This window comes from Homo sapiens, chromosome 12 (genome assembly GCF_000001405.40).
Source record: "Homo sapiens chromosome 12, GRCh38.p14 Primary Assembly".
NCBI classification, from domain to species: domain Eukaryota; kingdom Metazoa; phylum Chordata; class Mammalia; order Primates; family Hominidae; genus Homo; species Homo sapiens.
The window spans coordinates 111,915,909-111,940,804 of record NC_000012.12 but is presented as its reverse complement, the minus strand read 5'-3'; the positions used below and the strand labels follow the sequence as shown (position 1 = coordinate 111,940,804).

Here is a 24,896-nt window from a genome sequence, read left to right as displayed (position 1 = left end):
CAGAAGCCAAGAATGGAGAAAACATGGGGCAATAATTTTCTGAGGCTTAAGCTCCTGGCAGCAGAACAAAAAAATATTTGAAAGAAAAATGGGAAGGACATAAGATTAGCTCTCAAATATGGTATCCTACTGCTTTCTATGCATACAAATGCATATACTGTACTTCTCTTTATAACCCATACTCTATCACTGGTTTCAAGAAGAAAAGCTTTAGCCGAAGATATATATATATATATACACACATATATATGTGTGTGTGTATATATATATATATATATATACACATATATATGTGTGTATATATATGTGTGTGTGTGTGTGTGTATGTATATATATATATGTGGGGGGCAGGAGATTGAGGCCACAATGAGCTGTGATCATACCACTGCACTCCAGCCTGAGTAACAGAGTGAAACCCTGTCTCAAAAAAATAAAAAGAAAAGAAAACCCAAAGAGGAAAAAGTATTTTATATGTATAGATATATATATATGAAGAAGGGAAAATATACATACATATATATATATATTTTTTGAGACAGAGTCTCACTCTGTTGCCCAGGCTGGAGTGCAGTGGTGCAATCTTGACTCACTGCAACCTCCGCCTCCCAGGTTCAAGCGATCCTCCTGCTTCAGCCTCCTGAGGAGCTGGGACTACAGGTGCATGCCACCACACCCGGCTAATTTTTGTATTTTTAGTAGAGACAGGGTTTTGCCATGTTGGCCAGGCTGGTCTTGAACTCCTGACCTCAGGTGATCCACCCACATCAGCCTCCCAAAGTGCTGGGACTACAGACATAAGCCACCATGCCCAACCATAGCCTAAGATATTAACTCCACTACCTATTAGTCTGCTGTTGTAGTAGCTCCATACACACACACACACACACACACACACACACACACACACACACACACACACACACAGAGCTTTGAAGATACTTTTTCTTCTTTGGGTTTTCTTTTCTTTTTATTTTTTTGATACAAGGTTTCACTCTGTCACTCACGCTGGAGTGCAGTAATATGATCACAGTTCACTGCTGCCTCAATCTCCTGGGCCCAAGTGATCCTCCCGTCTCAGCCTCCCAAGTTGCTGGGACCGCAGATGTGTGCCACCATGCCTGGCTAATTTTTTCTTTTTTTTTTTTTTAATTGTAGTTTTGTAGAGATGGGCGGAGTAGGAGGTCATACTATGTTGCCTAGGCTAGTCTCGAACTCCTGGGCTCAAGTGATCCTTCTGCCTTGGCCTCCCAAAGTGCTGGGATTACAGATGTGAGCCACTGTGTTAGGCCTGAGTTCTCTTTGAAATACTCTAGCAAGACTTCTGCCATAAACTTTTTTTTTTTTTTTTTTTTTGAGACGGATTCTCATTCTGTCACCAGGCTGGAGTGCAGTGGCATGATCTCTGGTCACTGCAACCTCCACCTCCCGGGTTCAAGCAATTCTCTTGCCTCAGCCTCCTGAGTAGCTGGGACTACAGGTGCATGGCACCACACCCAGCTAATTTTTGTATTTTTAGTAGAGACAGGGTTTCACTATGTTGGCCCAGATGGTCTCAATCACTTGACCTCGTGATCCACCTGTCTCGGCCTCCCATGGTGCTAGGATTACAGGCATGAGCCACTGCACCCAGCCAGCAATAAGCTTTTTATCAGAGATTCATTGGTACCCAGGTAAAAATAGGAGTTAAACACTGGATAACCACCTGACAGAGGAAAGAATAAAAAGTGAAGAAGGGAAGTGAGTGGGAGGGGTCACAAAAAACAATTTTATTTATTTTCCTAAAGTCAATGCTAGCTGTCCTATTCCTGCTCCAAACTGTTTGGGGCAAATTAATTACCAATATCTGATTATTGATTAATTACTCACTTAATGCTTATTGATCCCTAACAATGCCATTCCAAATATATGTTTTCTATCTTAAATTAGAAAAAAGCTTATTTTTAATTCTATTATTTCTTTAAGATGTTCTGTTCAAAGTCTTACATCATAAGGTCCTAGAGGGTAGGAAAAACTATTCTGTAAGTTGTTTTACAGTGTCTAACACAAGTCAAGATTTTGAAAATGTTCTATCGTGTAGTGTCTAACAGTCTTATATCCAAAGGGCATATTTGACCCTGCCCTATTATACTAATCCTGGACTATTACACTTTTTACTGGTCGTCTTATAAGAAGGGTTTCATTCCACTCATAAAGTCTGAAGAAGTCCACACATCTCTGGGTCTAAGAGAAAAGAGCTGAACTGTTATTAGAAGATAGAGGGTTACTATATGATTTCATATATGCCTTTCTTTTTAAAAGAATTTGTTTGAGTGCCCAAAGTCCATATTAGGCTACTTCCTGCAGGCTTTCTTTGTGGCTTTGTTGTTGTTGTTGTTGTACTTTTTAGAATATAGTAATAGAGATAAAATTCTATTATATACAGTGCTAATAAGGAACTATCTATTTGATGAATTTTATAGCAAATATTGCTTGACAGAAGCAAACTGGCTTTTGGAAATCTTTTTGTTCTATTGAGTGTTAACTGATGATCTGGTATTTATTATTATATGATTGACAATGTCTTAAGACATTTCTCACATTTATTCTTTTCACAGGTGATAGATTATACTTGTCGAGTTTGTCAAATGGCCTTTGTTTTCTCAAGGTAAAATTTTTTCTTTACTTCTTAGCGAGGTGTAGACTCTCATTATTCTGGTGTTCAGGTGGGAACAAATAGGACAGTGCCCTTTATTTCCATTGTCAGTCCTAAGTCCTCACAGAGCCTAACTTAGAAACAACAAATACGTGTTCATTGCTTCCATTTTTCCACATTGAATAGGGAAGTAGCTTGATGTTATAGATTTGGGTTTTAGCTCCAAATCTACCATCAACTCTATGTAACTAACCTTGAACAAATTTCTTTGAGTCTTTGGATCACTTATTCCTTTTCCTGTATCATAAAGAGTTGTAATAGATGGCCTTCAGGATATCATCTACTTTATAACATTGGGTAAGACTCTTAGGATTACAGAGTCCAGAAAGGGTTTGGATCTCACCTAAAGTGGTGGCCATATCAGAGTTGGTTTTAGACTTTGTGACTTTTGTTCCTGGATCTTTTCCTCTTACAGGGAGCTGGCTATATTTAGCAGGATAAATAGCTGGCTATTTAAAGCTACACTTTGGAAAAGCTCCCAAGAAGGGGCTGATGAGAATGAGATTATCCCTGGTCACCATAGAAAGTAAAACAGACTGCACACAGAACTCCTTAGTAGATTTTCCTTTCACTCTGACTCACTTGCATTTTTATCTGACCATACAGCTACCAGAGATTCTCTGTGAAACTATGGTAGCGTTCATTAGCCTAGGTATAAAATTAATTCCCTACTGCATTGTACTTCCCTAGGAACTGGAAAAGAAGGAATACCTAAGGTATTTGAGGTATTTTTCTTGAAGAAATTAAATGTGTTATTTGTGGAGATTGGTGGGATGATAGAGTTGAGGGAAGAGCAGGAGAATATTCTTCAAAGGAGGAAGGGCATGAAAAAGAGTGGATATTAGGGTGATACTTTTTTTCCCTCCCAGCCTGATACCTCTGCTATTGATGACACCTGTATTCTGTCTGGGAAATACTAGTGAATGTTTCCAAAACTTCAGTCAGAGCCACAAGTAAGTAAGAACTAAATGTATAATTTTCATGGCAGACTACACCTATTTGTTTCTATAAATAGAGCTGGAAAAAGACTTTCCACATAATTCTGACCAAAGTGCTAATATTAGAAATGGGCTAAGGAACAAGATGTAGTAAAGGCTGAAAATATATAAGTAAAAGTGTAACACAAAATGACTACAAGATAATGTGTCTGTGGGGGAGAGACAAGGTTTTATGAGCAAGAGTTAGCAAAATGATAAGTAAAATAACATGCTTATTAAGTCTTGTTGAGCAGCTCTTTTCTTACATCTGTAGTAGTACTCCTGTTTATTGATTTTCTTCCTAGGTGTATCTTGATGCACTCACCACCATCAGCCATGGCTGAACTTCCACCTTCTGCCAACACATCTGTCTGTAGCACACTTTATTTTTATGGTATCGCCATTTTCCTGGGCAGCTTTGTACTCAGCCTCCTTACCATTATGGTATGGTACCACCCTACCTTCCTTTGTGGAGAGATGAGGAAATGAAGGGGATGGGCCAGTATTCCCAGGACCTGGGAAAGATGGGGCAGAGAGGCACTTCTTGTGGTCCTAGAACTAAGAAAGTAGCTAGGAGATCTTGACAATATAATTACTGCCTCAGACTTTTGCACTTCCCCAAATCAAATGATAAGAGAGAGAAAAGAGCTTGTATTTATTAGGTGAAAATTATGCTCACTCTACAACTAGTATAGGCTTCATCAATCCCCTATGGCCAGAAAACTCATATGTGCCAAATATATCCTTTACATAGTTAGGATGACACTCTGAAACATAGAACATATGCTTTGATTTAATTTTCCAAATAATAAAATAATTTTCTTTTTTAAATTCTACATTTGGCCATAAATTTGCATTTATGCTATGTCTAACTGGGGCTAAAGTGCTAAGTGGCTCATGAAGTTTTCAGATACTCATTTGATATCATCAGGATGATATACAATTAGAATAATTAGCCAGGGGATAGTAAGTTACATAACTGCCTCATACAAAAGCAGTAAATGAGCAAATATGCCTTTGTATTTCCCATATCTATTTTTCAGTATCATTTTCTCCTCTTTTTATATTTCAGTTCAAGAATTACAAGGTATCTACCTGCAGATCAAATGTGTCCCACTAGCACCTGTGAACTAGATACAGTTATGGGGAATTTCCTTTGGCAATTCAAACATAAGTTATAGAGATGGCTTGGTTTGCCTGGGCACAATGGCTCATACCTGTAATCCCAGCACTTTGAGAGGCCAAGGCGGGTAGATCACTTGAGGCCAGGAATTCGAAACTAGTCTGGCCAACATGGCTAAACCCCGTCTCTACTAAAAATACAAAAATTAGCCAGGCATGGTGGCATGTGCATATAGTCCCAGCTACTCAGGAGGCAGAGGCATGAGAATCGCTTGAACCCAGGAGACAGAGGTCACAGTAAGCTGAGATCGTGCCCCTCCAGCCTGGGCAACAGAGGATACTCTGTCTCAAAACACACACACACACACACACACACACACACACACACACACACACACACGAGATGGCTCAGTTCAAATCAACAGGTTGTAAAGAGTACACAATAACTAGTTCATATTAAAATGGGTTTGATGGTTTACGTTTGGAACTGACTAACAAGAGAGACAGGTCCCAAATCCTGGCACCCTGAGGATTCCTGATTGCTTCTTTAGAATAGCCCAGGTTTCAGTGTATATTCAGAATTAGCATTCTAGATTCTTTAAAAATCAGCAGATGGCGGCCGGGCATGGTGGCTCATGCCTGTAATCCTAGCACTTTGGGAGGCCGAGACAGGCAGATTGCCTGAGCTCAGGAGTTTGAGACCAGCCTGGGCAACACAGTGAAACCCTATCTCTACTAAAATACAAAAAAAATTAGCCGGGCATGGCGGCATGCACCTGTAGTCCCAGCTGCTTGGGAGGCTGAGGCAGGAGAATTGCTTGAACCCGGGAGGCGGAGGTTGCAGTGAGCTGAGATCGTGCCACTGCACTCCAGCCCGGGCAACAGAGCAAGACTCCATCTCTAAAAAAATAAATAAATCAACAGATGGTGAACTGATTCTTTTAGACGTTAAGTTTTCTCAAACTCAAGTCTCCTTTTGATGCTTATGTAGGGAAAAGAGACTATGTACATGGCTGAACTTGATTAAGTAATGAGGTTATTAATTTAGAGAGTAGATCTGGATTAGGGAAAAGATTCAGATTTGTTACCAAGAGTGTTATCTAATTTAATTTTTGCAAAAAAACACATTGGACTTTTGAACTGATTTATATTTGTTTCATGAGCTAAACCTTATTCAGACAGCTGACAATAGGGAAAAAGCAATTTGTTTTCCATCTAAAGGCAAGAAGTGACTTTCTTTCTTTCTTTTTTTTTTTTGAGACGGTGTCTCGGTCTGTTGCCCAGGCTGGAGTGCAATGGCGCATCTCAGCTCACTACAACCTCTGCCTCCCAGGTTCAAGCAATTCTCCTGCCTCAGCCTCCTGAGTAGCTGGAATTAAAGGCACATGCCACCACGACTGGCTAATTTTTGTATTTTTAGTAGACACAGGTTTCACCATGCTGGTCAGGCTGTCTTGAACTCCTGACCTCGTGATCTGCCTGCCTCAGCCTCCCAAAGTGTTGGGATTATAGGCGTGAGCCACCGCACCGGGTGCAAAGTGACTTTCTAAAACTTCTGTTGCTTAGAGTTGAGAATTTAAGCTCAGCCATGGTGCTGAAGTGTTAAGCATAGAACACTTTCTAACAAAATCTCTAATAAAGTGTTTTAAGAGGAACTAGTTAGAGCTTACTTTTAACTTCCTGGGTAAACTGTGATTAGCCTCAGTGGGGGGAAATGCCCAGAGGTTGATGTAAGGTTCATGTGTTAAACGTGATACACAAGTTTGGCTAGTTACCTGTCCATTTCCCTAGCCTAGTAAAAGTTCACTCTGAAGGTAATTTTCTCTTAAAAAAAAGCCTGATCTCAGAAAGTAAAGACAAGAGAATGGGGTCGTTCCTGTTGTGAGATTCTAAGAGAATAATCTTTTTAAAATGATAGGAGGATAGACCTGGGGCATTTTACTAAGCTTTAAGCAAACTGCTCACTGCTGTACTCATATTTAGGTCTTACTTATCCGAGCCCAGACATTGTATAAGAAGTTTGTGAAGTCAACTGGCTTTCTGGGGAGTGAACAGTGGGCAGTGATTCACATTGTGGACCAACGGGTGCGCTTCTACCCAGTGGCCTTCTTTTGCTGCTGGGGCCCAGGTAGGTACTTAACAAGAAGAGATGGGCAGTGAAGAGGGCAGTTATTAGGTTCTGATCAAGCAAAGTGGTCTCACTAAGAAGGATGGCTGAGGTCGGGCACAGTGGCTCACACCTGTAATCCCAGCACTTTGGGAGGCTGAGGCAGGTGGATCACGAGGTCAGGAGATCGAGACCATCCTGGCTAACACAGTGAAACCCCGTCTCTACTAAAAATACAAAAAAAAAAAAAATTAGCCGGGCGTGGTGGTAGGCGCCTATAGTCCCAGCTACTTGGGAGGCTGAGGCAGGAGAATGGTGTGAACCTGGGAGGTGGAGCTTGCAGTGAGCCAAGATTGCACCACTGCACTCCAGCCTGGGTGACAGGGCGAGACTCCATCTCAAAAAAAAAAAAAAAAAGAAGGATGGCTGCAAATTCCTATTCAGTTTATAAAATTTGTATGGGCCCTACCCATATTTCCAGTTTTTACTACCCTCCTTAACTCCTTTTGCTTCTTATGTTTTAGAAATTGAGATAATTAGACATGAGATGCACCATGATATAAGAGGAGAAAACATTGTGACAGACTTGGAGATATTAACACCTGCCCTTCCTACTACATAAGGTTATAGTGAGGATCAGGTTAGATAATTTTTTTTTTTTTTTTTGAGACAGAGTCTCACTCTGTTGCCCAGGCTGGAGTGCAGTGGTGCAATCTCAGCTCACTACAACCTCTGCCTCCCAGGTTCAAGCAATTCTCCTGCCTCAGCCTCCCGAGTAGCTGGGATTACAGGCGCATGCCACCATGCCCAGCTAATTTTTGTATTTTTAATAGAGACAGGGTTTCGCCATGTTGGCCAGGCTGGTCTCAACCTCCTGACCTCAGGTGATCTGCCCACCTTGGCCTCCCAAAGTGCTGGGATTGTAGGCATGAGCCACTGCGCCCGCCCAGATTGGATAATTTTTATGAAAGAGCTTGGGAAAATCTGAATTGATAGGAAGTATAAATTATTACCTTCCTGTAGTATATCCTGCTACCATTACTACACTAATAATCTACAAAGTTTCATCAGTAAAGACTAGAAGTTGGAGGCCTAAGACTCATTGGTTTGCATAACAAGTTAACGTCACTGATGGATTTTATTATGCCTATTGTTTCCATTCTGATAATGCTCAGACGTGTGTGGAGGAACCTGATACTTCAGACAGTCAGGGCTGACAAGAAGGTTTACACTTTGTGTATTCACAGCTGTCATTCTAATGATCATAAAGCTGACTAAGCCACAGGACACCAAGCTTCACATGGCCCTTTATGTTCTCCAGGTAACACCTTCAACATTCAGTATCTCTGTTCTTACACCCGCTTATCCTATTTTCTTATACTACCTTTACTCGGTAAGGATGATTTTTTCCCTCCGGGTACTTCTACATTGCAAAAGAGAAAATGTATTATTTACACTCAGTTATGAAGAATGTGAAAATTTTCTCAAAGTCGAGGTAGATAATGTTGTAAAAGTACCTCCATGCATTCCAGAGCGTATATATCTCTGGTCAACTTCATTTTACTGATGTGTTTTTAAGGAATGGGCAGCAAAAATAAACAAGATCTGCCAGGTATGTTCTTATGAAACATTGATAGTGACATGGTTCTCTCCCATCCAGAGTAAACTGAATGGGATAAATGAGCTATTCTTGGTGAATGGTGAGGAGGGGATGGAATGATCATCTCTCTTTTTTTTCTTTATTGGATTTAAGAAGATTTTTGGGCTATCTGACTATTCCGATGAGACAGTTTTCTCAAGGGTACCCTGGAAAATGAGGCAATAAGGGGGGGCACTGAAGCTATTTCATTGTCCCTATGTATATACTAAGAAGTATGACCAACTCTCAGTCATCCGTAACAGTGTAGTGTAGACAGTGAGTTCAGGATGAACTAGAAAAATATAAAAAACTGATGTCAGATCTTCATGTTTGAGATAGAGAAAATATAACAATGCTTTATGAATAAGGGGAGTGAGAATTATTCCCTGGATCCCTGAAAACCTGAAGCATGGGCTGCATCACCCCTTCATCTCCTCCAGGCTCTAACGGCAACATCTCAGGGTCTACTCAACTGTGGAGTATATGGCTGGACGCAGCACAAATTCCACCAACTAAAGCAGGAGGCTCGGCGTGATGCAGATACCCAGACACCATTATTATGCTCACAGAAGAGATTCTATAGCAGGGGCTTAAATTCACTGGAATCCACCCTGACTTTTCCTGCCAGTACTTCTACCATTTTTTGAAACTACAATACTGGAACATCCAGGAACTGGAGTTATTCTACGCTAATGGATTGGAAAGAATGTTGGGAAAGGACATCTTAAATCTTTTCTAACTATGCCCTAAACTGCAGAACTCAAAGGAAATATAGTGCCATTGTTAGTAGTCATTCTAGATGAATTGGGAGTATCTCTCCAGTTATTCCCAGATTCACTAGTGATCCTTAAAGTCTCTATTCAGGGAGAGGAAGACACTTTCCATCTCAGAGATAGACTCGTGTTACCTTGATGGATATTGGATTTGTCTAAGTCTCTTCTAGAAAAAATAAATTCTAGATTATTATTTATATGTGTCATTTCAAAGCTGTCTACTCCATGGTTGCAGGGGAAGTGGGGGCAGGGGGCATGCAACAACTTGCTCAGGTCTTGCCATTGCTATTACTGTCTCTAAAGTTGAACACAGAAAATCCTGGGTTTCCATTCTATGAAGAGTTTTGGAAACTCATAGGAAACAAGGAGAACTACTATCAAAAAAGTGACAGTGGGACCTTTAGACACACCACATCTTAGTCTCATATGTTCAGTTCTGTTCTAGGACTTGAACAATAGGGATCACCCCACTCTAGAATACTAAGACTAATCTTTTGAAGTCACAGGGACAATAAGATTTAAGAGAAATAGAGACTAAAAAAAACCTCTAGTAATCAATAACTGTTAACTTGCATTTACAAGCAGAAGTACAAGGTTGGTTTCATTGTGTTCATTTATCAAAGTATAAAGTTAGATTGAACAGTATGAACAACTTGCCATTTTTATAGGTGAAAATGGTCTAATGTCATCAATTTCACATAGTTCAGCCTAATAGTAAGTGTTAAATATATGTTTATAGGATAAATGAGTGAACAAGCAAATTAGTGACTTATAAGTAAAATTTAAATCTTTTGGGAAAGAAAAGATTCTCGGACTGCAGAGCTTCATTCAGGGGTGGGAATATCTATCTAATCTGTTAATTCCTCTTGAATCATGTAACAGTGATATTTGGTCTCTCCAGCTAAGTTATGAACAAGGCCAATCTGAGGCCAGAGCATCATATACTATGATGCCAAAACAAAGGGAAAGCCAAATGGACAAGGTGACTGGAATGATAATTAATCAAAACATCTAGACCTAATAATCTGATGATCACAAAAGCAGCCTTATTCTCACTTGATACATTATCTTGGTATGTCCAAGGCAAAATCTTTAAGATTAGAGAAATTGATTGAGAGGATTATAACGGAAGATTAGACAGGATGTTCTGAAAAGTAAGTTACAGAGATTTTTCCAAAAGAGCTCTCTATAGAAATGTCAGGGAGCTCAATGATAGCTCTTTCGGTTTTAGACCATGAGCTTCATGGAAGTTATGGAGGGTAACCTGGCCTTATTCTGTCAAGATCATATATTGAAGCTTCTCATTGTCCCCAAAATCCTGAGACCTGATTTCATGATAGCACAGAACAAAAAAAGACTGCCTCACCTAGAAAGCTGCGTTAACTTCTTTTAATTTAAAAACTAATAAGCAGTCAGCATATAGAAAAATAGATGGAAGCAAGAAAGAGTTCCTATATCCATAGTCCCTGAGGGACACCAGAACCAAGAAGTCCAGTTCTTTTTTTTTTTTTTTTGAGACAGTCTTGCTCTGTCGCCCAGGGAAGAGTGTGTTGGCATGATCTCGGCTCACTGCAACCTCCCCGTCCCGGGTTCAAGCGATTCTCCTGCCTCAGCCTCCCAAGTAGCTGGGATTACAGGAGCCCACCACCACACCTGGCTAATTTGTGTAGTTTTTCAGTAGAGACGGGGTTTTATCATGTTGGTCAGGCTAGTCTCGAACTCCTGACCTCAGGTGATCCACCCGCCTTGGCCTCCCAAAGTGCTGGGATTACAGGCATGAGCCACTGCGCCCCACCAGAAGTCCATTTCTTTCTTTCTCTTTCTTTCCTTCCTTCCTTCCTTCCTTCCTTCCTTCCTTCTTTCTTTCCTTTCTTTCCTTTCTTTCTTTCCTTTCTTTCCTTTCTTTCTTTCCTTTCTTTCCTTTCTTTTCTTTCTTTCCTTCCTTCCTTCCTTCCTTCCTTCCTTCCTTCCTTCCTTCCTTCCTTCCTTCCTTCCTTCCTTCTTTCTTTCTTTCTTTCCTCTTCTTTCTTTTTGATACAGAGTTTCACTCTTGTTGCCCAGGCTGGAGTGTAATGTCATGATCTCGGCTCACTGCAACCTCTACCTCCCAGGTTCAAGCGATTCTCCTGCCTCAGCCTCCCGCGTAGCTGAGATTACAGGCACATGCCAGCATGCTCAGCTAATTTTTGTATTTTTAGTGGAGACGAGGTTTCACCATGTTGGTCAGACTGGTCTTGAACTCCTGACCTCAGGTGATCCACCCACCTCGGCCTCCCAAAGTGCTGGGATTACAGGCGTAAGCCACCACACCTGGCCAGAAGTCCATTTCTTAAAAGGTCCTTTCAGTATCACTTCATATTTGGCCTTATTACCAGAAAGAAGGTAATTATCAAATATTTTTCAGGTTTGTTTATCTTGCTGTTCCAGTGATGTATGACAATTTCTTAGATCATGCGTGGATGTAAGCAAACAAAAAGATAGTAGGAATGAGAAATAATAAGCGGCTAGATAAGACTTGAATTAGGATTATCAGCTTTTTGTCATACTGAGAGTCAGAGGGGATATGTGGAGCTGGGCCACTGTTAGACTACCTCCTAACCCTTAAATTCTCATGTAGGAGGGGCATAGTTGTAGACAAGTGCTAGTTCTTAAAATTGTTGCAAACAACCCTCCCATGACACTTGTCCAGGTTGCAGTCATAGTGGAGTACAGTGGTATCTAAGCAGGAATGATTGATACAGATCTTTTGTGGACCATATGGACTATCTTTTACCTCCCCCTCGTCAGCCCTGTTTATACTCCAACACTACATGTCCTGCATGGGAAAATGGGTGTTTGATGTTTTTCAGTTTATGGGATCTTTAGATGTTTTCACATAGCAGTCTCTCACATCTTACATATTTGGCCTTGTAGTTCCTGAAGACTTTAAACAATCCTTTAGACTCACTGCCAGTTTCCAAACCTATCCCCCTTGGTAATGATAATTTTTCCAAGCAGCTCATTTGCCCTTTCCAGAGATTTTAATGCACTGATTCTCTAGGCTTCTGCACTGGCCCTGGTAACAATAACCTTGTTCTTTGCAAGGGATACCATCTTCCTTGTATATATCTGTGTGGCACCACTCGGAGGTGCCATTAAAGTACTCTCAGAGGTCATATTCACCTCCACTGAGGCAGCAGGGTGTGGTTGCTCTTGGAAATTTGCAGTGTCTGCTACAGAATCCAAATGCACAATCTGAACCCTTCTTCAGCTATTGTGAGGGCAGACAACAGTGATCCCTTTCACAATCAATGAGAGGGATTCTTTCACAATCAAAGAATGCCACACTTGCATTCTTCTCCTTCATCACTATCTTGTCCCCACAATATGGCTTTCCAAAGGAGATTTGGTGCTCAAGTTTATTAAACAGTCTTCTCTGTGCCTATGCAAAAACTAATGGAATCAGTGGAAGCTTCAGTTGCTGAAGCCCATATCTATAGTAATAAATTTATGCATAATACAAAGGTTCTGGCCATGACACTTGTAGGCCATATAGTCATGTTTCATATCCAAGCTGTGGCCAAGCTCATGAGCTATGAGAGCTGCAAAGTGGGGTATATCTTCATGAAAGAAAGATTCAACACTCATTGTATTCTTAGCTCTACAGATACAACTGAGAAATGCATAGCCCTGGTACTTTCCAGGATTTTGACCAATGGTCCAAATATGAGCAACAACATGTTTCACCTTTCTGAAGGGGTGCCAGCTGGTCTCTCCGCAGTTAAAATTTTGAAACATTTTCTGCAGATTCAGGGGCATTTGCACTAGCCTTCTCTCTGTCCGTATCTCCAACTAGTCCATATATCTAACCAGTAAGTATTATTTAGCTCCTTATTGTATCACTTGGCCAGCGTGTGAACATCTGTTACCATCTGTGTAATGTTGGTCACATTATATTATTCCACATTTGTAACCACTTATTGTCAACCACAATAAACATTTCTACATATTTGGGAAACAACCATATATGGGGCATGTGGTCTGGGCTCTATTCTGCTCTGAATCCTGATTTCAAGATATGCTGTAAACCATATGTTCAAATTTGTTTGAGGTATGTTGGTCAGGCTGGTCTTGAACTCCTGACCTCAGGTGATCTACCCGCCTCGGCCTCCCAAAGTGCTGGGATTACAGGCATGAGCCACTGCACCCGACCCGAAGTCCAGTTCTTAAAAGGTCCTTTTAAGTGCTGATAGTCACCAAAGAATCTAGGTCACTGTTGACTCTACATTATAGTAACAGTGATCCTGTATAAAAGGCATGCCCAAGCTCTATTTCCCATTTTAATGTGTACAGATAGGGAAGTTTTTTATTAACAATCCTTAATTTTGCTTCAAATTTAATAATATTCCATTTTCTCATATTAAGACATAGGCCACCTTTTCTCCTTTTTCTTCTAGTCCTCTGAATATCATCAAGTTTCTAGGATGACTATTTTATAATAAAGATATTTCCCCCATTCTCAAAACCCCATGTAGGGATTCCTGGATGAAAAATATTTCCAAGGCTAGGTGTGGTGACTCACACCTACAATTCCAGCACTTCAGGAGGCTGAGGTGGATAGATTACTTGAGGCCAGGAGTTTGAGACCAGCTTGGGAAACATAACAAGACCCTGTCTCTACAAAAATTTAAAAAATTAGCCAGGCGTGGTGGCATGTACCTGTAGTCCTAGCTACTCAAGGAGGCTGACGCAGGAGGATCACTGGAGCATAGGAGTTTGAGGTTACAGTGAGCTATGATTGTACTATTGCATTCCAGCCTGCATGGCCTGGGTGCCAGAGTGAGACCCTGTTTCTAAATAAATAAAATAAGATAAAATGCAAATCATTCCAAACCTTACCTATGACCGCTTGATTTCACAGAAGAAGGATCAAGAGGGAGGCAAAGTAATTAATTAGGGATGTCATTGTCATGGCCCAAGTGAAACAGCCAATAATCCTGAACCTCTGTATCTCAGTTGTTTTTCCTAGACCCAGACCTTTGTCAGTGATGTAGTTGTTTGGTTAAAGCTCAAAGCTATGCTGCCTGCCAGAAGGATAGCTGTTCCCACCTGACTATTACATGATGACACCTGCCTTTTGATCATGTTTATTCCTACTCCTCTCTCTCTTCATGAGTGTCCTTACTTTGCAACCTGCCTCAACATTTTAGTGTTCCTTAGCTGAACTCCTGCTGTTGTTTTTGTTTGTTTGTTTTTTGAGACGGAGTCTCGCTCTGTCGCCCAGGCTGGAGAGCAATGGCGCAATCTCAGCTCATTGCAACCTCCGCCTCCTGGGTTCCAGCAATTCCCCCTGCCTCAGCCTCTTGAATAGCTGGTATTTCAGGCACCCGCTACCACGCCCGGCTAATTTTTGTATTTTTAGTAGAGACGGGGTTTCGCCATGTTGGCCAGGCTGGTCTTGAACTCCTGACCTCAGATGATCTGCCCGCCTCGGCCTCCCAAAGTGTAGGGATTACAGGCGTGAACCACCATGCCCTGCCTTCTGCTGTTTTCATGGAAGAATATACCAAGGAGAGGAAGATTTCAGAGGTCCAGCAAGTTCCATGACCCAGGATCAGGCCTCAAGAAAAGGAAAAAAAAATAACCTTTTCCTGTCAGTTGTAGTGCCCATGAAACAGCTTCTACCACCTCTCCTGGCATGTGTTATTCTTTTGGCTCATTGAAACTAAAGGTTCCAGAGCAGGCCTTTGTGGGTCTCTGGATAGGTCACAGGCCTCTGCTGTCCAGTGCCTCTTGCACCATTCTCTACTCTGTACCACACAGCCCATTTCAAACCCCCAAACCTTTTCTGCCTCCGAAAGAGTTTGTGGGCATGGTCTTTGACCTACCACTTTGTTGTCCTAAGAATCTCTTCTGCATGGACATTTACCTCATTTAAATAGACTGATTTTGATCCTTGCTCTAAAATTCCCTCTGTATCTGAGATATGGGCACTTCCCTATTTGATATGATATATGTCCATTAGCATAAGGGGAATCAGCTATGAGATCCTGAGTATAAAACACCAGGGATCGGCTTGGAAAAAAAAAAAAAAACCCAGCAAGTCCTGGAAGGAAGTATGAGTAGACCTTTCCTGTAATACATAAGTAGCATGGAAAGGAAAAAGAGATTAGAGCGCCAAGTTGTTTTAAATGTTCCAGGGTCTAGGGAATAAATCTCTCAGATGTACTCATATCTAGGGCATCAGATGGGGTTTCACCATGTTGCTCTTTGAGACAGAGTGATACTCTGTCTCGAAAAAAAAAAAAGAAAAGATAAATTCAGCTGATATTACAGTGTTCCCATGTACCTCGTCTACCTCCACACAGGATTTCTCCATTAGCATCTTTAATTAGTATGGTATGTTTGTTACAATTGATGAGCCAATACTGATACATTATTATAAACTAAAGTCCATAGTTTACATTAGGGCTCATTTTTTGTGTTATATAGTTGTATGAGTTTTGACAAATGTATAATGTCATGTAGCCACCATTGCCATGTTGTACAGAACAGTTTCACTGCCCTAAAAATCCCTTGTGTTCCACCTATTTATCTCTCCCTCTTTCTCTCCAAACCCCTGGCAACCACTGATCTTTTTGCTTTCTCTATAGTTTTGTGTTTTCCAAGTGACATATATTTAGCATACAGTATGTAACCTTTTCAGACTGTTCTTTTACTTTACAATATCCATGTAAGATTCCTCTATGTCTTTTTGTGACCTTATAGATCATTTCTTTTCATCACTGAATTATATTTCACTCTGGATGTACCACAGTATGTTTATTCACTCACTTATGAAGGCAAATCTTGCCAATTGAAGGACATTTTCCTGTGTTTGGCCATTATGAATAAAGCTGCTATCAGCATTTGTATACAGGTTTTGTGTGTACATAAGTTTTTGAGTAAATACCTAGGTGCATGATTGCTGGATCATATGGTAAGCCCATATGTAACATTGTAAGAAACTGCCAAACTATCTTCCAAAGTGGCTATACCATTGTTCAGTGGATTACAGTTCCTGATGCTCCACATTCTAGCTAGCTTTTGGTATTGTCAGTGTTTTGTGTTTTTATTGGGGTTTTTTTGTTGTTGTTCGTCTGTTTGTTTTTTGAGACAGAGTCTCGCTCTGTCACCCAGGCTGGAGTGCAGTGCACAATCTTGGCTCACTGCAACCTCTGCCTCCCTGGTTCAAGTGATTCTCCTGCCTCAGCCTCCCGAGTAGCTGGGACTACAGTCATGTGCTACCATGCCTGGCTAATTTTTTGTATTTTTAGTAGAGACGTGGTTTCGCCATGTTAGCCAGGATGATCTCAATCTCATGACCTCCTGATCTGCCCGCCTCGGCCTCCCAAAGTGCTGGGATTACAGATGTGAGCCACTGCACCTGGCCTCGTTTTGCAATTCCCTAATGTCATATGATATTGAGAATCTTTTTATGTGCTTATTTGCCATCTGCATATCTTTGGTAAGGTGTCTGGTCAGATCTTTTGCCCCTTTTTAAATTGGATTATTTTCTTTTTGAGTTTTAAGAGTTCTTTGTATATTTAGGTACAAATCTTTTATCATATATGTATTTTTGAAATATTTTCTCTCAGTCTATTGCTTGTCCTTTCATTCTCTTAACAGTGTCTTTGACAGAGCAGATTTTTAAAATGTTATTGAAGTCCAACTTATCATTTTTTTCTTTCATGGATCATGCTTTTTTGGTATTGTCTCTAAGAAGTCATCATTGGCCGGGCACCATGGCTCACGCCTGTAATCCCTGCACTTTGGGAAGCTGAGGCAGGTGTATTGCTTGCGCTCAGGAGTTCAAGACCAGCCTGGGCAACATGGCAAAAGCCCATCTCTACCAAAAATACAAAAAAATTAGCTGGGTGTGGTGGTGAGCACTTGTGGTCCCAGCTACTCAGGAGGCTGAGGTGGGAGGATCGCTTGAGCCTGGGAGGCAGAGGTTGTTGTAGTGAGCCAAAATGGCACCACTGTACTACAGCCTGGAAGTTGTACAGCTTTGCGTTTTACATTTTAGTATATGATTAATTCCGAGTTAATTTTTATGTAAGGAGTAAGTTCTGTGTCTAGATTCCTTTTTTTTTTTTTTTTTGTAATGTGGATGTCTAATTGTTGCAGCACCATTTGTTGAAAAGGCTATATTTTCTCCATTGAATTTCCTTTGCTCCTTTGTCAGCAATCAGTTGATTGACTGTATTTTTGTGAGTCTGTTCCTGGATTCTCTATTCTATTTTATTGATCCATTTGTCCACTCTTACACCAAGATCACACTGTCTTAATTACTATAACCTTATAGTAAATTTTGAAGTCAGATTGTGTCAGTCCTTCAACTTTGTGCTTCTTCAGTATTGTGTTGGTTTGTGATTTCCATGTAAACTTTAGATTCAGTTTGTATTCGCAAAATAATTTGCTGGGCTTTAGATTGGGATTGTCTTGAATCTGTAGATCAAGTTGGGAAGAACTAACATGTTAACAATATTGAGTCTTCCTATCCATAAACAGGAAATATGTCTCCATGTATTTAGACCTCCTTTGATTTCTTTCAGCAGGGTTTTGCAGTTTTCCTCATATAGGTCTTGCACATATTTCATTAGACTTATATCTAAGTACTTCTCCCTTTGGAGGTTCTAATGTAAATGGCATTATGGTTACAATTTCAAATTCCACTTGTTTATTGCTAGCATGTAGGAAAGTGATTGATTTTTTATATTAACTTTGTAACCTGTAACCTTGCTGTAATCACATCTTAGTTCCAGAAGGGTGGTTCGTTTTTTGTTTTTGCCTATTCTTTGGGATTTTTCTACATAGATAATTGTGTCATCTGTAGGCAAAGACAGTTTTGTTTCTTCAATCTCAACCTGTTTGCCTTTTATTTCCTTTTTATTGTTTTATGGTGTTAACTAGGACTTCCAGTACGAAGTTGAATAGAAGTGTTGAAAGGGTCATCCTTACTTACCTTATTCCCAATCTTAGTAGGAATGCATGCAGTTTCTCACCATTAAGTATAATGTTAGCTATAGGTTTTTTGTAGGTAGATTTTTTTATCAAGTTGATTTTTTTTTTAAATCAAGCTCCCCTCTATTCCTAGTTTGCTGAGAGGCTTTATTATGAATATGTGTCGATTTTGTCAAATTCTTTTTCTGCATCTACTGGTATTATTATATGATTTTTCTTCTTTAGTCCATTGACATAATGGATTATTTTAATTGATTTTTGAATGCTGAACCAGCCTTGTATACCTGCAATAAATCGCACTTGGTTGTGGTGTATAATTCTTTATACACATTGGTTCAATTTGCTAATATTTTGTTGACAATTTTTTCATCTGTGTTCATAAAAGATACGGTCTGTCGTTTTGCTTTGATTGTCTTCATCTGGTTTTAGTATTAGGGTAATGCTGGCTTCATAGAATGATTTAGGAAATGTTCTCTCAGCTACTGTTTTCTGGAAGAGATTGTAACTAATTGGTATTGCTTCTTTCTTTTTCCCTTTTTTCTTTTCTTTTTTTTTTTTTTTTTGAGATGGAGTCTCACTCTGTTGCTCAGACTGGAGTGCAGTGGCGTGATGTAGATTCACTGCAACCTCTGCCGCCCAGGTTCAAGCAATTCTCCTGCCTCAGCCTACCAAGTAGCTGGGATTACAGGCGCCTGCCATGGCGCCCAGCTAATTTTTGTATTTTTAGTAGAGACAGGGTTTCACCATCTTGGCCAGGCTGGTCTTGAACTCCTGATCTTGTGAGCCACCTGCCTCAGCTTCCCAAAGTGCTAAGATTACAGGTGTGAGCCACTGCGCCCAGCCAGTATCGCTTCTTTCTTAAATGTTTGGTGGAATTTACCAGTGATCCCCCATCTAGGCCTGGTGCTTTCCTCTTTGAAAAGTTACTAATTATTGATTCAATTTTTAAATAGATACAGGCTACACTAAGATGATGTGTTTCTTTTCGTATGGGCTTTAACAGATTGTGTCCTTCTAGGAATTGGTCCATTTCATCTCTTATCAAATTTGTGAGCATGGAAGTATTCCTAATATTTATTATTCTTTTAATGTTTATGGGATCAGTAGTGATGGGCCCCTCTTTCATTTCTGATATTAGCAATTTATGTCTTTTCTAGTTTTTTCTTGGTTACTTTGCCTAGAGGTTTATCAATTATATTGATTTTTCCCAAAGAAACACATTGGTTTCATTCCTTTTCTCAATAGATTTCTTATTTTCAGTTTTATTTATTTCAGTTTTTATTTTTGTATCTCTTTTCTTCTGTTTGCTTTAGGCTTACATTGCTTTTCTTTCTCTCGTTTCCTAAATTGAAGCTAAGATTATTGATTTTAGATGTTCTTTCCTAATATATTCATTAAGTGCTATAAATTTCATTGAAGTATTGCTTTCACTGCATCCCACAAAATTTTGACAAGTTGCATTTCATTTTAATTTAGTTCAAAATATTTTAAAATTTCTCTTGAGACTGCTTTGACCCATATGTTATTTATTTATTTATTATTTTTGAGATGGTCTTACGCTGTTGCTCAGGCTGGAGTGATCCTGCTGCCTCAGCCTCTCGAGTAGCTGGGACCACAGGTGCACACCATCAGCTAATTTTTAATTTTTTGAAGAGATGGGGTCTCCCTGTGTTGCCCAGGCTTGTCTTGAACTTCTGGGCTCAAGCAATCCATCCCTTTGGCCTCCCAAAGTGCTGGGATTACAGGCATGAGCCACCATGCCCGGCTGACCCATGTGTTACTTAGAAGTGTGTTGTTTCATCTCTAGATATTTTAGGATTTTCCAGCTATCTCTCTTACTGACTTCTAGTATAATTACATTTTTAAGAAATCTATTTTTTATTTTTTAAATTGAAATAAAAATATAGATCTGATTTACCATCTTTACTATTTTTAAGTGTACAGTTAATAAATACTCTATATATTTTTTCAAAAATAATTTCATTGTGGTCCAGGAGCATACTTTGTTTGATTTCTATTTTTAAAATTTTGCTAAACTATGTTTTATGGCCCAGAATGTGGTCTTAGGGAATGTATCATATGAGCTTGAGAAGAATGTGTATTCTGCTTTTGGTGAATGAAGTGTTCCATAAATATCTTCAATTCTCAGCTACCTTCCATGTCTTCTTAGTGGAGGTAGGAGTAGATATAACATTTTTTGTTTTTTTGTGTGTGGTGATGAGGTTTCACCAAGTTGCCCAGGCTGGCTTAAACTCCTGGGCTCAAGAGATCCGCCTGCCTCAGCCTCCCAAAGTGCTAGGACTACAGGAGTGAGCCACCACTCCTGGCTGGGTATAACTTTTTAATAAATTATCCACTGCTTTCAACATAAACCACTTCTATATCCAATTCCCAAATCTATCTTGGAATTTTTATAGCTCTTCTAACAGGGTTTTAACTCTAAGGGAGCAAGCCTTTACACCAATGTCAAAATTACCTCACTGTCCTATCTGAATATTCTCCAAGGTTCTTCCTCCTTCCTTTACCCAGAGAGGATTTTTATTTCTTTTTTTTTTTTAAATAATGAATAAACTGGTCTTTTTTCCTCTGTGCCTTATAGTATAAGCCCTATTCTCTTAAGGAATCCAGGTCTTGACTTCTAGGAACATGACTCTCCTAGCTTCTCAAAAAAGCACCCCCACCCTCACCTTTTTTTTTTTTTTTTTTTTTTTTTTTTTTTTTTTTTTTAGATGGAGTCTCGTTCTGTTGCCCAGGCTGGAGTGCAGTGGCACAATCTCGGCTCACTGCAAGCTCGGCCTCCCAGGTTCACGCCATTCGCCCTGCCTCAGCCTCCCAAGTAGCTGGGACTACAGGTGCCCACCACCATACCCGGCCAATTTTTTTGTATTTTCAGTAGAGATGGGATTTCACCGTGTTAGCCAAGATGGTCTTGATCTCCTGACCTCATGATCCGCCCATCTCAGCCTCCCAAAGTGCTGGGATTATAGGCGTGAGCCACTGCACCCAGACTTTTTTATTTATTTTATTTTTTATTTTTTTGACAGAGTCTTACTCTTGCCTAGGCTGGAGTGCCGTGGCGCAATCTCAGCCCACTGCAACGTCCGCCTCCCAGGTTCAAGCAATCCTCATGCCTCAGCTGCCCAAATAGTTGGGACTACAGGTGCACACCACCACCCCCAGCTAATTTTTGTATTTTTAGTACAGACAGGTTTTCATCGTGCTGGCTAGGCTGGTCTTGAATTCCTGGGCTCACTTGATAGGCACACCTCGGGCTCAAAAGCACAACTCCTGTTTTGTTTTGTTTTGTTTTGTTTTGTTTTTGGAAACAGAATCTTGCTCTGTCACCCAAGCTGGATTGCAGTGGTGTGATCTTGGCTTACTGCAACCTCCACCTCCCAGGTTCAAGCAATTCTCCTGCCTCAGCCTCCCAAGTAGCTGGGATTATAGGCATGCATCACCACGCCCAGCTAATTTTTCTGTTTTTAGTAGAGACAGGGTTTCACCATTTGGCCAGGCTGGTCTCAAACTCCTGATCTCAAATGATCCACCCTCCTCAGCCTCCCAAAGTTCTGGGATTACAGGTGTGAGCCACCATCCCCGGCCATCCACTCTTAATAAATAAAAAATACTTTGATCCTAAGGCTATTTTTTTCTGCCAAGGATTCAGCTTCCCAAGTAGCCACATGCTGGGCTAGTTTTTTGTTTGTTTGTTTGTTTGTTTGTTTGTTTTGGTAGAGATAGGACCTCAGTATTTAGCCTAGGCTGGTCTCGAACTCCTGGGCTCCAGCAGTCCTCCTGCCTTGGCCTCTCAAAGTGCTGGGATTACAGGTGTGAGCCACCATGTTCAGCCCTGCCAAAGATTTTGAGAGCCCATTTTGGAACTCAAAACCAAAAATTTGACTCTTTATTCTTATTATTTGATTCCTTTCTTCCTGGGACAATAAACTTCAGCCTCACTGTCTCTATTTAGTTAGAAGAGCTTTCAGTAAGAAGAAATTACTGAGAAGAAAATTATTAATAAGAGGAGAAAATACATTGTCATCCAATTCAGAATGCTATTCTGAAAATTATATAATATTTATTATACTTTCTATTGCTTCCCTTTTTTTCCCTGTCTTTCACTGGCTTGGATAGATTTCCTTTATTCCTTTTCTTATTCCTATGTTACTTTGTAAAGTTTTACTTTGCTTGTCAATACTCAGTTACTCTAGTGGTTACTTTCCTGTTGCTAATAATCATGAATAAACCTCTATCATTATGTCAATATAAATAGTAAGTTATAGCAGTTAAGTGCTCCATCAAAATAATTTACTTGTGGCCAGGCACAGTGGCTCATGCCTGTAATTCCAGCACTTTGGGAGGCCCAGGCAGGCAGATCACTTGAGATCAGGAGTTCGAGACCAGCCTGGCCAACATGGTGAAACCCCATCTCTACTAAAAGTACAAAAATTAGCTGGGCCTGGTGGCATGCGCCTGTAGTCCCAGCTACTTGGGAGGCTGAGGAACAAGAATCACTTTAACCTGGAAGGTGGAGGTTGTAGTGAGCTGAGATGACACCACTGTACTCCAGCCTGGGTGACAGAGCAATACTCCATCTCAAAAAAAAAAAAAATTTATTTGCCATTCCTCTTACCTTTTTCTACCATGAAAATATAATTAAAAGGTTGAGCACAAATATTCCAGGCAAAAACAAATAAGAAGAAAGCAGGGATTGCAATGTTCAAAACAAAGTAAAATTCAAGATTAAAATCATTAATTTTACAGGCAGTGGCTCACACCTCTAATCCCAGCACTTTGGGAGGCTGAGGTGGGCGGATCACGAGTTCAGGAGATCAAGACCATCCTGGCTAACATGGTGAAACCCCGCCTCTACTAAAAATACAAAAAATTAGCTGGGCGTGGTGGCAGGCACCTGGAGTCCCAGCTACTCAGGAGGCTGAGGCAGGAGAATGGCATGAACCCAGGAGGCAGACAGAGGTTGCAGCGAGCTGAGATCGCGCCATTGCACTCCAGCCTGGGCGACAGAGCGAGACTCCATCTCAAAAAATAATAAAATAAAATGAAATGAAATAAAATAAAATCATTAAAGGGGAAAAGAGGATATGTAGTTATTAAGAGGTACACCCAAAAAAGAAAATTTAAGTCATAAATTCTTGTTTTCTTCTTCTTCTTTTTTTTTTTTTTTTTTTTTTTTTTTTTTTTTGAAGTGGAGTCTTGCTCTGTCGCCCAGGCTGGAGTGCAGTGGTGCGATCTTGGCTCACTGCAACTTCTGCCTCCCTGGTTCAAGTGATTCTCCTTCAGCCTCCCGATCTTGGCTCACTGCAACCTCTGCCTCCCTGGTTCAAGTGATTCTCCTTCAGCCTCCCAAGTAGCTGGGACTACAGGCACGTGCCACCATGCCCAGCTAATTTTTTGTATTTTTAGTAGAGATGGGGTTTCACTGTGTTAGCCAGGATGTTCTCAATCTCCTGATCTCATGATCCGCCCGCCTCAGCCTCCCAAAGTGCTGGGATTACAGGCGTGAGCCACTGGGCCCAGCCTAAATTCTTGTTTTAAAACAATATGGCAATCAAGAATGAAATAATATATCACTACAGACCTAACAGATGCCAAAAGAATAATGAGGAACCACTACAAACAGCTTTACAGACGTACATTTGATACCTTAGATAAATGGACCAATTTCTCAAAAAGCACAAACTACTACATCTCACCCAATGTGAACTAGATAAGTTGAATATCTTTATAGCTATTAAGAAAATTGAATTTCGCCAGGCACGGTAGCTCATGCCTGTGATCCCAGCACTTTGGGAGGCTGAGGCGGGCGGATCACCTGAGGTTGGGAGTTTGAGACCAGCCTGACCAACATGGAGAAACCCTGTCTCTACTAAAAATACAAAATTAGCCAGGCATGGTGGCACGTGCCTGTAATCCCAGCTACTTGGGAGGCTGAGGCAGGAGAATCGCTTGAACCCAGGAGGTGGAGGTTGCGGTGAGCCGACATCATGCCATTGCACTCCAGCCTGGGAAAACTCCATCTCAAAAAAAAAAGAAAGAAAAAAGAAAATTGAATTTATAACTTCACATCTCCCAAGAAAAATAATCAGGCCCAGATGGTTTCACTGGAGAATTATAACAAACCTTTAAAAATAAATTAACACTAATTCTACACAATCTCTTCTAGAAAAATAAAAGAGAAGGAAAGGGAACCCTATCCGATTCATTTTATGAGGCCAGCATCACCCTGATACCAAAACCAGAGAAAGACAGTACAAAAAAAGAAAACTACAGACCAATATCCTTCATGAATATAGATGCAAAAAAAATTTAACCAAATATTAGCAAATAAAATTCAGCAATGTGAAAAAAAGAATTATACACCATGACCAAGTTTTGTTTTTTCCAGGGATGCAGGATTGGTTTATGTTTGAAAATCAAACATTGAATTCACCATGTTAGCAGGCTAAATAAGAAAAATCCCATGATCATATCAATTGGTGCAGAAAAAAGCATTTGGCTAAGCTTTACATCCATTCATGATAAAAACTCCCAGAAAACTAGGTAGAGAGTGAAAACTACCTCAATGTAATAAGAACATCTA

General features: G+C 40.4%; 1 protein-coding gene and 1 pseudogene across 5 annotated transcripts in view; one reads left to right on the top strand and one right to left on the bottom strand.

The window, feature by feature from the left end:
* TMEM116 (transmembrane protein 116) overlaps positions 1-9,523 on the top strand; it is an 81,938-nt gene extending 72,415 nt beyond the window's left edge. For 4 of the 5 annotated variants that reach the window (NM_138341.3, NM_001193453.2, NM_001193531.2 and 1 more), the window contains 6 exons: positions 2,595-2,644; positions 3,562-3,645; positions 3,975-4,113; positions 6,775-6,919; positions 8,146-8,219; positions 8,978-9,507. In NM_138341.3, coding sequence (NP_612350.1) covers positions 2,595-2,644; positions 3,562-3,645; positions 3,975-4,113; positions 6,775-6,919; positions 8,146-8,219; positions 8,978-9,184 — 699 coding nt within the window. In that variant the 3' untranslated portion in view covers positions 9,185-9,507. Of the gene's footprint in view, positions 1-2,594; positions 2,645-3,561; positions 3,646-3,974; positions 4,114-6,774; positions 6,920-8,145; positions 8,220-8,977 lie in introns of all 5 variants that reach the window. The other variant, NR_122119.1, reaches the window with a different exon arrangement.
* ADAM1B (ADAM metallopeptidase domain 1B (pseudogene)) lies at positions 11,871-13,611 on the bottom strand (annotated as a pseudogene).